General features: G+C 42.8%; 1 protein-coding gene across 51 annotated transcripts in view; it reads right to left on the bottom strand.

Moving 5' to 3' along the window:
- Nucleotides 1–15,846, bottom strand: part of CADPS (calcium dependent secretion activator) — a 477,069-nt gene that overhangs the window by 154,901 nt on the left and 306,322 nt on the right. For all 51 annotated transcript variants that reach the window (NM_183393.3, NM_001438352.1, XM_011534199.3 and 48 more), the window contains exon 10: nucleotides 4,157–4,265. In NM_183393.3, the coding sequence (NP_899630.1) occupies nucleotides 4,157–4,265 (109 nt within the window). The remainder of the gene's footprint in view (nucleotides 1–4,156; nucleotides 4,266–15,846) is intronic.

Raw genomic sequence — 15,846 nt, forward strand, 5'->3', positions numbered from 1 at the left:
GAGTTACTTTGGGGAAGTGGACAGCCCTCTCCACTGTGCAGTTATTTAGAGGTAGAGATGGAAAGACACCAGGAAGTTTTTATATTTTTAATCAATCCTCCCAACAGCCTTATGATGTAAGTACTATTATTCCATTTTACAGATGAGGAAACTAAGTCATGGGGAAGGTGGTAACTAGCCCATGGACACAAAGCTGGGTTGTATGTGTCAGAGCTGGCTTTTGACCTTGGCTGTTTGTCTCCACAGCTGATGACTATAACCACTGTGCTTTACTGCACCAAAGCATGAATCCAGGGCTGGGCCCTCACTAACAGCTCTCTTAAGAGTCATTATTAACAATAAAATGAAGCCTAATTTTGGAGTGGGTAAGGGCAAAGAGAAACATCTAAAGAAATGGCAGCAATGACAAGCACAGCAGCAGAGAGCAACAGGGCTTTTTCAGAAAGCACCAGAGGCTGAGGACACACCAAGGAAAGCAAGAAGGAGATAGAAGAGCGACAGATGAAAGAGAACCAAGAGAGGAGAAAGCAAAGTGAACATCCACAAAGTGAAGATCCACATGTCATAACCACAAGGCCATCAGTCTTAGAAAAAGCAACAATTCCTGGGGACTGAATCTGAAGAATGTGATGTGTGACCTCAAATGGGCTCTCCTTGGAGAACGAGGGGCACAGTCCCACAATTCAAAGACAAAAAGACACGTCTGGGAATAGATGGAGGCAGACCAGGCAAAGGAATGCTGGCCAGCTCTCTAGGGGAAAGGAATTGCACTTCCAACAACTTGCATGGCCAAAGTCCATTTATGAGGGTAAAAAAGGTCTTTATGAGTCGTATAAGAATAATTCAGTTGTTTGATAAACTGTGGCATTGAATTATTCTGGATTAATATTCTTTTATTTGAAGGCTTAATTATCTAATCGGATAGAAATTGAGATTATTTCAAACTTTCCAAACCATACACAGGGAAAGGTAAAGTGATGCATTTTTATTTTTAGCTTAAAAGGAGTAGCTTGTAAGTGAAACTTACATAATTTGCCAGTTCACCAAATGAACACGTCAAGGACCCAAACAGGTAGAGTTTATTTAGTGGAAATGCTTGTGTCTGGGGGAACCACGTAGATTGTAGGCTGGTACTAAGGCAACAATATTAATTGCATCCCTCCCTTCTATGGCAGAGAGCAACAGGCCACAAGGGTTCTTAGCACACAAAATCGCCACCAGGTGGATCCACTGACAATTTGGATAAAACCAAGAGAAAGAGGGAGAGAGGTAGAGTCTGAAGTCCTCCCCATTTGCACACTCACCTTTCAGGGAGCAGTTGAGGAGACTCCTCAAATCTGAGGACATTGGTTAAAATGTGCATTACTTGGCTCTCCAGCTGGCAAATGTTACTGTGTTCAGGAATCCCCTGCAGTGCTTATTTAAATACAAAGATTCTGACCTCTCCCTACTTCTGGTTCACAGGTTAGAAATGGGGCCCAGGAACATTTATTTTTAATAATTACTTTTTTGTTGTTTGTTTGAGACAGAGTCTCTCTCTGTTGCCCAGGCTGGAGTGCAGTGGCGCAGTCTTGGCTCACTGCAACCTCTGCCTCCCAGGTTCAAGCGATTCTCCTGCTTCAGCCTCCCGAGTAGCTCGGATTACAGGTGCGTGCCACCACGTGCGGCTAATTTTTGTATTTTTAGTAGAGATGGGGTTTCACCATGTTGGCCAGGCTGGTCTCGAACCCCTGACCTCAAGTGATCTGCCCACCTCAGCCTCCCAAAGTGCTGGGATTACAGGCGTGAGGCACCGCGCCTGGCCAATAATCACTCTTTAAAAAATTCTGAGTTAGACTTTCCCATGACAACTGAGAGAATTTAAGTCTCCGTTTTCAATCAGACATTACTTGGGGAATAAATAGGACTTAGCACATGGAAAGATAGAAGAAGCTGCTTATTATTCTCAAGAACATAATTGATTTACATTTTACATCTTTCCATTTACATCTTTCGTATAGAAATTTATAAATTATATCCCATGGGATCGATGTAAAAAGAAATAAGCTTTAAAAATATATGTGCACAGTTACTCCTTACACATGTAGATAGAATAGCTCTCTCCACTCCTGCCCTCCCCACTGAGTGAAGATAATTTTGCTTTCATCTGATAAAGTAACAACCATAGCTTTGCTATAGCTGTTCATGCAGCTATGCTTTACTGCAAGTGCCAAAGCGTGACATGGGTTAGACCCGGAGTCCCAGCTCAGCCACCAGGCAGTCTTAAACAATAGCCTTTGATATCTCAGAATCTCAGTTTCTTCATTTACAAAATGGGGTAATGATCCTGGTCTTATCCACTTTGTGGGATTACCCTGAGGGCTAAATACAATCACATGGGGGGAAAGGAAAATGAACTGGCTTAAAAGCAATTATTGTCATAAGGTGGTATTGATTTCCCTTCTCATATTGGCCCTTTAGCGTCCCATTTTATGTTTAAAAATTTATTATTCTTTACAATTCTATTTTTTGAGTTGGGGTCTATTTCTGTCACCCAGGATGGAGTGCAGCAGTGCAATCATAGCTTATTGCTGCCTCCAACTCCTAGGCTCAAGCAATCCTCCCACCTTAGCCTCCCTAGTAGCCTCCCTGTAGCACACACCTACAGGTGTGTGCCTCCATGCCCTGGTTATTTTTTAATTTTTTTGTATAGATGATGTCTGGCTTTGTTGCCCAGGCTTGTCGTGAACTTTGGTCTCAAGCGATCCTCTCGCCTTGGGATTGCAGATGTGAGCCACCACTCCTCACCCTAGCCTTCTACTTAAAAATAAAAGTCCTAAGGAGGACTGAATCTATTTTTTTGAAGGATACACAATGGCTTAAGAAGAACACAAACCATCACAGAATGTCCTAAGGACTGGTTTCCTAAGGCAGGAGCCCCATCCTTTCCATGAGAAGTTGCATGAAATTGTTTGTTTCAAACTCGTTGGTTCTGCTCATGAAGGATTTCCAGGCAGAGCATTTAATTCATGCCTTATGTGGTCAGCTCTGCATTCTGCTCTGGCAAGTAGCAAATAACATATGAAAGACCGAAGGGGTGGCGCTGGGCCCAGTCACTCGGTTGAGATTCTGCAGGTGCTAATTTTACTAAGTGGGCTGGGCCCAAGGCCTTCCCTGCCACACCTTTTCAGGTTAGCACCCCATCTTCTCTCAAACTCTGTTTTTCTTTTATGTGTATTTTGTTGCATGTGGAAGAGCAATATGGGAGTAGAAAAAAAGGTTTTGGGCCAAATAATGCAGTATGGTTGGAAATGCTTTCCTTGTGCAGATTTGGCATAAAAATAAACTTCTCCGGGAGAGGGCTGTTGGTGCTTGTTGTTCATTAATATGCTGAAATGATTTCGCACCCCCCTCCCATTTTGAAGGTTCTTTGAGGCTGATTTCTATTCATTTTTTTTTTCTGGGAAAAAGATAAAATGGGTGGGGGGAGAGGTGCGAGGGGGCAGGATGTAGAACTTATGCGGTGTAGAACTTTTAAGAAATACTACCGCTCGTGTAGTTTTCTTAGCTACATAAGGCTTAAGGGCTTCATTGTCTCTGCTTGTGGATTGGTGTCTTCTTAGGGAAAAAGACATTTAGGGAGGGTTTTCAAGTGCTACCAGCTAACCTTATGATCTCTTGAATTGTAGCTAGGGAAAATGGATATATTGGGCAGGCTCCCTTGGTCACTGAAACCTGCCAAGCCCACACATCACTGGTGAAAAACAACACACACACACACACACACACACACACACACACACACACACACACACACACACACTCCTTGGTGTACATGTGGGACTACTTCTTTTTCAGAATTTTTTTTTTAGCATTGTATGGTGGAGTCCATATTTGATGTGGATACAGGCAGGTAAAAGAAAAATGCTCTTACTTTTTGGGTTTAAATTAGAGAATCCCTTGAGTAAAACCAAAGCACTAGGTTAGGATGGCATTTAACCAACCGGGATGGAAACGGCATAATATCAGGGATTGTGACTGTCATGCACACAGCTGAAACCCTTAGTGAATTGACTTAGTGCCTAGCATGGAGTAAGTGCCCAGCAATTATTAGTTGACCATTGATTTGGGAAGGTTGAGGGTTTGTGGGCTCGTGGCCTTGAGGGTCGGTGGGTACCTGGCTGGGGGTCGGTGTAATCCACAGTGTAGCCATCCAATTGTAGAAGTTCCTGAGGCTCCGCTTTCTTCTCCCGATAACTGCACATGGCAAACGTGTACTGACTGACCTGTTAAGGAAAAGCAGATTGTGAGGTTGACCCCTGGAGCCTGTCTTCTCCAAAAAACCCTCCCCCATGTTCTCTCCTCTGAGGATCTGGACTGAGTGGCTGGGTTCAAACTGAGTTTTGCTACCTCCTGGCTGTGTGACGTTGAGCATGTTACTTAACCTCTCTGGTCCTTCATAACCTCATCTGTAGACTGGATACAATCTTAGAACCTACCTCATTGGCTTACTGTGAAGACTGAATGAGTTCACGTGGGGAATGCACTTACAGTCTGTTCCTGGCACTTAGTAAGTACTTGATGAAGGTTAGCTATTATCATTATTGCTTTTAATATAATTGGGTTAAGCTACATGTGACTGCCATTTTTGTAGGTCAAAAGTGGTTAAACGACAGCAATTTTGTATGTTCTACCTAATGTGACTGTGGCCTTGGCTGAGACTGCCATGCTCGCAGATACAACATGGGCCTTTTGGTCAGAAGTTAGAGGCTAGACATTCATTTATTCATGCCTTTTTATTTCAGTATTTTATTTTTTGCAGCATTTTGATCAGCATCAAACTACATGTTTTGTCCCCTTCTTCCTGCTGAAGGAGTACTTTGGTTGCTTTGAAGTCTTCTTCTTATCTCAGACAAGTGCAGGAGTGACATGCTGTCACAAGCAATGAGCGCTTGATCGCTAGGTGCCAGTCACAGTAGAGCAATCCTCAGCCCCCACAATGGCGTGGCTGTTGTCACTTGTGCCCTAATGGCAGCCCTCACTCTACCAACACAAACCATGCCAGTGCAGGGCGGGTGCTCACAGCTGCAGGCCCGCCTTCAGGACCCTGTCACTCTAGTGCATCCAGATCCAGCACATATACTTAGCATTTCTACATCTGGCTTGTCTGCAAGTAGCCCGTGGGAAAGCAAGCATCCTCCTAGCTTTGGGCTAAATGCTCTCAGGCATATTTACTATCCACGGATGTCAAATGTCTTAGAGAAGGAGTGCCACATCCCTCATCCCTTAGTTTCCTTTATTAAAAGAGACACTTTCTAAGTGAACTTTGATCCCAGTGGGGGACATTTTTAGTCTCTTCTATAGTGAGATTTGTTTTTGTTGTTTTAATGGTGATAAGAAATTGACGCTCTCGAGTGCTACATGCATCTCCCGCACTGTCCGAGGCTTGAGGGTCCCAGTGGAGAGATGAAGGGTGTCCGCAGGAGGATGTTTTTGGTAGTTGGTTTGTCTGTTGCTGCCCTCTGTTGGCTCCTGATGGAAACTTTACCGCCCCACTTGGGTTTCTTTATAATGTATAGGGTTTGCAGAACTTCTTCCTTATATCACAATGCCAGGGGAAACCTAAGGCTGGGTCACTGAGAGTATTTTCATAAAGGAACACATATTAATTTTTTGTAATAAACAAAGTAATCAATAGCACACTCTTCTAAAATGGAAGGTTAAGAGTGTAGGCTGAGGGTTCCATGGGCCTGGGGTCCCATCCCAGCTCTGATAAGCTGTCCGTTCTGTAAGCCTCAGAGTCTTCATCTGTATTTACCTGCATCTTATTGTTGCTAGAGAATTAATTGAGTTTTACATACCATGTGTGATACCCATAGAGCGAACACTTCATATACACATGCATTTATACAGGCCCCTTCCTTGCATTTGACACACTTTCTAATATAGTATAGCTTAATAGGTGGATTTACCTACTGGATTATAAATTCATTGAAGACAGGTCTAGGGAGTCATATGTCTTGATTGTATTTTCAGTCTCATAAGCAAAATCTGCCATATAATGGGCATTCACTAGTTGAATCTGATTGGTTCTAGAAAGTTGAGTACATACAATCCAATAAAGAGGTTTTACCCCCCAAATTTACAGGGGATTCCAAGTACAGTACCAGGCCTTTCCAACTTGTTATTATTGATCCTAGGGATAACAGATTTCCTGTGACCCTCTGCATGACAATGATCATAGATACTGCTGGAACGGTCCCATGGGGAATTTTTTTTTTTTTTAGATGGAGTTTTCTTCTTGTTGCCCAGACTGGGGTGCAATGGCATGATCTTGGCTCACGGCAACCTCCGCTTCCTGGGTTCAAGTGATTTTCCTGCCTCAGCCTCCTGAGTAGCTGGGATTACAGGCATGCGCCACCATGTCTGGCTAATTTTGTATTTTTAGTAGAGACAGGGTTTCTCTATGTTGGTCAAGCTGGTCTTGAACTCCCGACTTCAGGTGATCTGCCCGCCTCAGCCTCCCAAAGTGCTGGGATTACAGGCGTGAGCCACCATGCCCAGCCGGATTTTTTTTTAACCTGGCATTTCTCATCTGACAACATGAAAGATGACATAGTTTGTTAATGTGATTGGCCAAACAGAGAGTTGCCGACACTCACTTAAGATTTAAAAAAAAAATCACAACAGAAGGGTGTTATTTCAAGATTTATGCATTTACTATTACTACATGGTTTGGGCTTTTTAATTTTTTTTTTTTTTTCCTTTTCTATTTCAGTGGCTTCCTTCTTGGAGAGCTGTATGCTGATGCCCTCTTCTGGTTATATTGCTGAAGTCACTCTCCACAAACTGAATTGCTTTGAGTTGGTAAACCAAATTGAGTTGGTTTATTGGGAGCATCTTGATTTAGGATTTTGCAATGTACTTTAGGAAATAAAGGAGGGGAGAAAGAATGATTTCTCTTTGAATGATTCTAATTATTGGAAATTTTGGGGGGAATCTCACTTTTTATAGACTGATTGAATGGTGGGAGAATTGCAAAGATTTGGAAAGCCTTACATTTATTTTTTAAACTTCCACAAGACCACACTAAGTAAAAGCCATTTCCCATGAAATGCATGTTCCTCTGTCGTAGTAGAATTCTTTTAAAACTGTATTTTGTTGATGAAAAATTAATGAGGCAGTGAGCACTGTTGTAATAAAGGCATGGCAGAGCCTGGAATGCATGTTAGAAGTGAGAAAGTCAGCCACCCTTGTCAGACAGCCTGGCCTACAACAGAAAGCATAAAAATCTAGTGATCTCAAATGATCAGCAGACATCTGAAAGTGCACTTTGCAGAGAAGGGCTTAAAGAACTCTGTCTTTCACATCCTTGGGATTTTCATAGGGTAGGTACCTTCTCATGGAATCACAGGACAGGCCGTTGGGACTTCTGAGGGAACAGTCAGCGAGGTTTTATTTTAAAGCTGGCTGCACCTCAGACACACCTTTAAAAATCCTTAGCTCATTTCCAGTCACGTGCTTAAACTACAGAATGCTTTGAAGTAATGTTCCTTAAAGAGTGGATGGTGGGCTGGGCGCAGTGGCTTACGCCTGTAATCCCAGCACTTTGGGAGGCTGAGATGGGTAGATTATGAGGTCAGGAGTTTGAGACCAGCCTGGCTAACATGGTGAAACCCCCTCTCTACTAAAAATACAAAAATTAGCTGGACGTGGCGGCAGACTCCTGTAATCTCAGCTACTCCGGAGGCTGAGGCAGGAGAATTGCTGGAAATGGGAAGGCAGAGGTTGCAGTGAGCTGAGATCGCACCACTGCACTCCAGCCTGGGAGAAAGAGCGAAACTCCATCTCAAAAAAAAAAAAAAAAAAAAGAGTGGATGGCGACAGCTGCCTTTATTATTAGATAGTGTGTGGGGGGTGAGGGGGTGGATTAGGCTGTAAATATGTAGATTCTTTAAGTCAGACCAGAATCAGAATCTCAGGTCAGAGTGGGCCTTAGGATTATACATTTTTCATAACTGTCTCAGATTCTCTCTCTCTTTCTCAAAATAGGGTCTTGCTGTCGCTCAGGCTGAAGTGCAGTGACACAAACATGGCTCACTACATCCTTGACCTCCTGGGCTTAAGTGATCTTCCTGCTTCAGCCTCCCCAGTAGCTGGGACTAGAGGCATGTACCACCATGCCTGGCTATTTTTTTTTTTTTTTAATTTTTTGGTAGAGATGGTGGGGGGGATGTCTCACTATGTTACCTAGGCTGGTTTGAACTCCTGGGCTCAAGTGATCTTCGCATTTTGGTCTCCCAAAGTGCTGGGATTACAGGCATGAGCCACCACACCTGGCCAGATATCTCTTAATACATGTTAAAATCTGAGAACCACGGTTTTAATATATAGGAACTGTCCATAACCTCTAAGATTGCCCTTGAGTTTCAATTATAGTTAGCAAGTAGATTCCAGTCATGAGATGAAAAGGTTAGACTTTTCTGTCCCCAACTCTCCTCTCCCCTTCTTATCACCTATGGGAGACTAAAATACTTGGACATACAACAGTAGAATGTATTTTGTCTAAATCTTCTTTCCTTGCTTTTACCATCATTCTTTGAAAATTAATCAGCTGTTATTTTTACTGAACTCTGGTCACCAGCCCTTGTCCAAAATTCATATACATAATTTAGAAAAGAGTTGTTTATAATAGATACATTCATTCTTTCAACAAATACGTAGGTAGTGTGTTTGGTTCGAGGACTATAAACATGCAAAAAACCAGATGTGATTCCTGCCCTCATGTCTAGCATGAAGGTAGACATTAATCCCATGATTTCACAAATGTGTTATTTTAATAGTGGCAAATATTAAAAAGAGAGGTATATGGTACTGTAAGAGCTTGGAGATTTGGTCTAGATGGGTGGTTGGGCAAGGAATTCCTGAGGAAGCATTGACGGATTGAGCCAAAATCTGAGCATGGAGAAAATTTTTATGGTGTGAATCACAGTTCCTGGAGACTAAGGACTATTTTTAATGTGATGTAGTTGCGAATGAAGGATCACAGTGTCTAAATCCCAGACTCCTGATTGGCACTGAAGTGAAGGCCATTTGGTGGAGGAGAAGGAGAATAGATTTTAGAGTCATGCAGAACTGGATTTGGTTTTCAGATCCATTATTTTCTATGTGAACCAAGGCAGTTCAGTTAACTTTTCTGGGACATGGTTTTGTGATCTTTAAATGGGGATGATGATAACATCTGTGGGACATTTCTTTTTTTGATAATTAAAAAAGAATTTATTTCTTGTAGACATGGAGTCTCACTGTGTTGCCCAGGCTAGTCTCAGACTCCTAGCCTCAGGTGATCGTCCCAGCTCAGTCTCCCAAAGTGCTGGGATTATAGATATAAGCCACTGCACCTGGCCTTCTGTGGGGGCATTTCTTATGTGTGCATGCAGGCCATTCATTGCCCTCCCACAACTGAATCCTGGTCTTCCTTTGGGAACCACTCTCTTTTCAACTTTCAGGGCAAGTGGTTTGTGTGGGAGTAACTGCACATCTAGCTGGAAGTAGGGTGAGTAAAACACTTGGCCCATGCCTGGCCAATCAACATAGTATCTCCTTGGTTGCAGTGACTGGTGCAAGGATTTGGCACCACACTGGGCCAAAGAAAGCTAACTGAGGGCCTGTACTGGAACAATTGTTAAAGAAAAGTTTTCTCTGGGGCTGGTAAACTTTTGTAAGGCTTGAGCTGCCAGAGATCATGCCTGAGGGTGAAGTCAATTCAGCGGAAAGCAGAGCCAAAAGATTAAATATATTGAGAGACAGAGGCTTGATAATATTGCTTGAGTCCTGGATCTAGTCATGACAGAAGACCCTCCAGCTAATTACTAGTTTAATTAGTTAACCAATACAATTCTTGCCCTTTTAAAACTTAAGTCTGTTTGGGTTGATATCTGATAACCAGACTATATCTGATAACCAGATATCTGATAACCAGAATATAAATATAAATGTCTTATAGAGCAATTGTGGAGTGGCAAAAACAAACATTTGGAGTTACAAATCCTTCAACTACTCATATGTCTTACAATTCATTTTTGTGGTTAACTCATTTTAATATTGTATTCCCAGGTGACTACTATTGTATTCCAAGGCATTATATATTATCTAACAATATTTTATCTTATTCTGATTTAGTGATTTTTCTGAAAGCTGGAACATAATTTTTGGTAACATTCTCAGTTGGGAATCAGAAACAGAGGAGCCATGTTGGTTCTATCTGAGTAATTCAGTTCTAGAACATTCTTTTAACACAATGCTTTATTTAAAAAATGTTTTATTTCCATAAGTTTTTGGGGAACAGGTGATATTCAGTTACATGAGTAAGTTCTTTAGTGGTGATTTATGAGATTTTGGTGAACCCATCTCCCAATCAGTATACAATGAACCCAATTTGTGGTCTTTTATCCCTCACTCTCTTCCCACCCTTTCCCCCTGAGTCCCCAAAGTCCATCGTATTATTGTTATGTCTTTGCATCCTCATAGTTTAGCCCCCACTTATGAATGAGAACATATGATGTTTGGTTTTCCATTCCTGAGTTACTTCACTTAGAATAATAGTCTCCAATCCCATCCAAATTGCTGTGAATGCCATTAATTCATTCCTTTTTATGGATGAGTAGTATTCCATCATATATATATAACATTCTGTATGCATCAATCTCTTCAGGTGCCAGTCCTGTCTAAGTGCTAGGAGTTATTGAAGGCACTTGCAATCAAAAGACCTGTGTTAGGTTTCTTTTTTTTTGAGACAAATTCTCGCTCTGTCACCCAGGCTGGAGTGCAGTGGCATGATCTCGGCTCACTGCAAACTCCACCTCCCAGGTTCATGCCACTCTCCTGCCTCAGCCTCCCAAGTAGCTGGGACTACAGGTGCCCGCCACCACGCTTGCCTAATTTTTTGTATTTTTAGAAGAGATGGGGTTTCACCATGTTAGCCAGGATGGTCTAGATTCCCTGACCTCATGATCCACCCGCCTCAGCCTCCCAAACTGCTGGGATTACAGGCGTGAACCACCGTGCCTGGCCTGTGTTAGGTTTCATATTTGGCTGCTTACAAGCCATTGACCTTGGGCAGGCCACTTATCCACTCTGAGCCTTAGTTTCCTCTAATGTGAAGTTGCGAAAAGCCTTGTCCTCACTGTAGTACAGAAAGGTTGTGAAGACCAGCTTGACGAACACTTTGTAAACTCTAAGAAACCATATAAATATAAGTGATTGTCCACATTATTAGAGGAACCACAGAATATTACAGTTTGTACAGTGCTAAAATGGGGAGAAATGTCTCAGAAATTATTTGAACACCAATCAAAAAAGTAGATTTTAACCAGAAATCTTTTTTTTTTTTTTTTTGAGACAGAATCTTGCTCTGTCACCCAGGCTGGAGTGCAGTGGCATGATCTTGGCTCACTGCAACTTCCGCCTCCTAGGTTTAAGCGATTCTCCTGTCTCAGCCACCTGAGCAGCTAGGACTACAGGCACATGCCACCATGCCCAGGTAATTTTTGTATTTTTAGTAGAGATGGGGTTTCACCATATTGGCCAGGCTGGTCTCGAACTCCTGACCTTGTAATCCACCTGACTCAGCCTCCCAAGGGGCTGGGATTACAGGCATGAGCCACCATGTCTGGGCACCAGAAATCTTTTGATCACAGAATAAAAATATTTTTTAAATAAAAAGATGAAAGCGTTAAGACTTTCTAACCTGATATGGGTGATAAGTTGGCCTGTTTTCACTGTTCTCCTTACACACACACACGGGGTGGGGCGTTCTGGCTATCCAGCAGTGCTCTATGGAATTGGCACCTTTATCATTAGTGTTGATTTGGTCACATTAGAGTTACTAACAGTAGTAATCAATGTGTTTGGTTCTCACCATGGACCCGAGGGTTTAGAATGAGGCCCCAGTAATTTCTTGACTCAGGGTGCTGAAGGCCCATTTCCCCTTGATCTCTGGGTTAGGGTTTGCAGCCAGCCAAGTTTATAGGACATATATTGGAATTTCAAGGAAGATGGCGAGAGGAGGCTTTATTGTGCCATTTGAATATAGTCATCTATTTAGCTACTCTGATGCTCGGTTCCATAGAGAACATAAACTCTAAGATGGTGTCATCTGAAGGGAATGAGACCCTTCACTTTAAGCGGGATAATGACCTCCAAGGCAGTGTTTCTCCAAGGGTGGCCTTTGGACCACCTGCATCAGTATCTCCTGGGGTGCCTTTTATAAGTACGGAATACTGGGCCCCACCCCAGACTTACTGTATCAGAGTCTTCTGGATGGCACCTTGGGGTCTGCATTTTAAACAACACCTAATGCAGATGGTCCAGGCCCCCATTTACAGACACTCTCTCATTGCACAGGAATGCTTGAATCTCTGTCACAGAAGCTCCTCGCAACTGCTTCATTCCCTTCACAGTTGGTAGGGTAGACTCTAGCCACATCTATAGTAATTTTAGCTCTGATCCTTAAGAAATGGGAATTGCTACTTTGGTCCAGCACTCCTCTGAGTATATCCTTTATCCCTGGCTAGTAGGAAGTCCGTTTATAGTCTAAAATTTGGTTCCCCAAGACAGTAGTACTAATAGGAAATCTCAGTCAGGGAGAATTTTAATTGTTACACGTTATAAGCAAAAAAGTAGACTCTGTGTGTATGTGTAGAGCAGGAGATGAATTTTGAGGAGACTAATGTTGGATGTCCTCTCTTCATCTTTGTTTTTTCAGACAATTTTCGTTGTTTTAAATCTAATGTATTAAATCATAATTGTGTTGGAAATTGTGTGCTGCTAGCTCTCTACATAAACACATTCCATAAGATCTAACATCTGAATTGAAAGACACAAAGATTCCGTAAGTCACTTGGGTAGATATACTTTCTGTTTGGTGGTTTCCACACTGTTTTCCAGGGAGTTCCCTCCAAGGCTGCCTGGGAGCAGGGGCGGGGTTAGGGGAATCTTCTCCCTTCCCCAGAACTCTCACGCTTCTGCAAATTGAACCAGGGTGGTTCTCCGGGTTTCATGTTTGCATTTTGAGTTTCAAAGTAAGGGTTTGGTGGCTAAAGAGAAACTGAAAATCGTTTGTACATATGACTGAATTCAACATTGCATGCAGCTGTTGGGGGCCAATTGCCACCGCTTGGATTGACATCCTTTCCTTCAGCAACCTGAGACATTTTAGCTTCCTCTGAATTGGACCAGCACTGGTGGCCTTGAACTTTCCTCCTGCAGCTCTGATGGCATTGGGGTTGTTTCAAAGGGAGTGTGTTTTTTTCTTTATGATATTGATAAAGTGCTTCTAAATGTGATCACTTAAATAGGGGAGAAGAAAAAATGGAAAGAATTTAAAAATAATGCAGTATTTTCTGGGTATGCCAGCAAATTGCTTTTAGATATTGTTGTGGTGAATAGGACAAGAATTGAAAGAGAAGACCTGAGTTGTCATCCTGGCTCCCCCATTATCTTTGTGATGATGGGACTCTCACGTCACCTCTGTGTGTCACAGAGGTTGTTAAGGGAGAAATCTGATTCAGGCTGAAACAGATTTTTTTGGGGGGATGGATGTCCCCAACATACCTTGACAGCTCTTTAAAGTTAATGAGAATCATATGTACATGAAAAATTTCACAGAATTCTGAACTTATTTTCTCCTGCCTTTCTAGGAAAGATACTGAGCTTTAGATGAGAAGTGCCCTTTTATGATTCTCAGAAGTGAGCACAGAGCTTGCTTTTTAGCTGCTGTGTGACTTTCATCTTCTCTTATTAGAAGGCTCAGTGTGAAGGCTCTAAACACCTGTGTTCCCGTTGCCTGAAAAAATCATTCTCTCCCTTTTGGTTCTCCCTGTACTTACTGTACAGACATGGCTTTACTGATGTTTTCCACATATTTCCTCTTGTTTTTCCTGCAGAGTTTCCTCTCCCAAAATAAGAGGTCATCTACTTCTCCTAAGTACTTCATCATATCAAAAGTTCTCAGAAATCTGAGAATGGTTGTCACCAGCCACTTCTCGGAGCACATGATCTCTCCTTTTTCAGCACCACCCAAGGTATTGCCTGAGCTTTTCTCCTCTCTCTTCCTTTTTCTTTTCTTTGCCAGACACTGGGCTAGGGACTGTGTATGCGTGTGGTGGAGGAAAGAGGGAAAGACACAAAAAAGAATCAGAAACAAAACTGGCCCTGAAACAGTGCACAGTCTATCGGGGAGGCCAGGCATGCTCCCAAGTGATTCCAAGAGAGACTGCTGTGCCAAGTGCAATGAGAAGCACTGAGGGGCGAGAACCATCCATGACTAAGCACTGCTTTTTTTTTTTTTTTTTTTTTTTTTTTTTTTTTAGAGTCTCACTCTGTCTCCCAGGCTGGAATGCAGTGGCGCAATCTCAGCTCACTGCAGCCTCCGCCTCCTGGGTTCAAGCAATTCTCCTGCCTCCGCGTTCCCTGTAGCTGTGATTACAGGTGCGAGCCAGCATGCCTGGCTAGTTTTTGTATTTTTAGTAGAGATGGGTTTTCACCATGTTGCCCAGGCTGCTCTCAAACTCCTGAACCCATGTGATCCGCCCTCCTCAGCTTCTCAAAGTGCTGGGATTACAGGCGTCAGCCACTGCTCCTGGACAGCACTGCCTCTTGATGTGTCTTGTCTTCCCATTTACATTGTATGCTCTTTAAAGTGGATACCAGTTATTTTTACCTTCCCAGTATCCATTTCTCCTTCTGGTAATGGCATCCTGATTTTGCATGAAAGACAATCCAGTGGGACTGTCAATCCAAGTGCCATCCCTTCTTCCTGCTAAAAGTTGGGAGTGAACCAGGTTAGACTAAACCAATTCTCCCTTTATGAAATTTGACCCTCAAGGAGAGATGCAAGGATGGAAAGTGGTCAGAGCCAGTCTGTCTCATGACCACACTAGCAGCACTGGCCATGGTTCCAGGACTTGTGATGGTTAATATTAGGTGTCCACTTGATTGGATTGAAGGATGCCTAGATGGCTGGTGGAGTACTGTTTCTGGGTGTGTCTGTGAGGGTGTTGCCAGAGAAGACTGACAGTTGAGTTGGTGGCCTAGGAGAGGAAGACCCACACGCAGTGTGAATGGACACCATCCAATCAGCTGCCAGTGCAGCTAGAACGAAGCAGGTGGAAGGAGGTGGGATAAGACTGCTTGCCGAGTCTTCAGGCTTTCGTCTTTCTTCCCTGCTACATGGTTCCTTCTGTTCCTAATGCCCTTGGGCATCAGACTCCAGGTTCTTTGGCCTTTATACACTGGGACTTGTACCAGTGACTTGCTGGGGGCTCTCAGGTCTTTGGCCTCAGACTGAAGGCTGTACTGTTGGCTTCCTTTGTTTTGAGGCTTTCGGACTCAGAATAAGCCACTATCAGCTTCTTTCTTCCCCAGCTTGCAGACAGCCTATTGTGTGGCTTTGCCTTGTAATCATGTGAGCCAGTTCTCCCTAATAAATGCCCTTTCTTATATACATATATCCTATTGGTTCTGTCTCTCTGGAGAAACCTAATACAACTTGGATTTCTGGAACTATGCTGGCCCTGTTCTTAACATGGATGGGTAATTCAGCCTTTTTCACAATTCTATGAGTTAACTCCAAAGCCTTCCATATATTCATTTTTTAAACCTTAATTAGCTTGAGTCTACTTCTGCTGTTTGCATATGTAGAACTCTAACAGATTCCTTTCTGGGAGCTAAATACCAGACCTGATAGTTCTCCATGTCCTCTCAATGCACTCCACACAAAGTAGGTGCTCAATAAATACTGGTCAGTTAATAGTCTGAGGAAATGTACCACAAGCTAAAATAGCCTCAATTGCTTAGCCATGGGTT

The sequence above is a fragment of the Homo sapiens genome, chromosome 3 (genome assembly GCF_000001405.40).
Source record: "Homo sapiens chromosome 3, GRCh38.p14 Primary Assembly".
Taxonomy (NCBI): domain Eukaryota; kingdom Metazoa; phylum Chordata; class Mammalia; order Primates; family Hominidae; genus Homo; species Homo sapiens.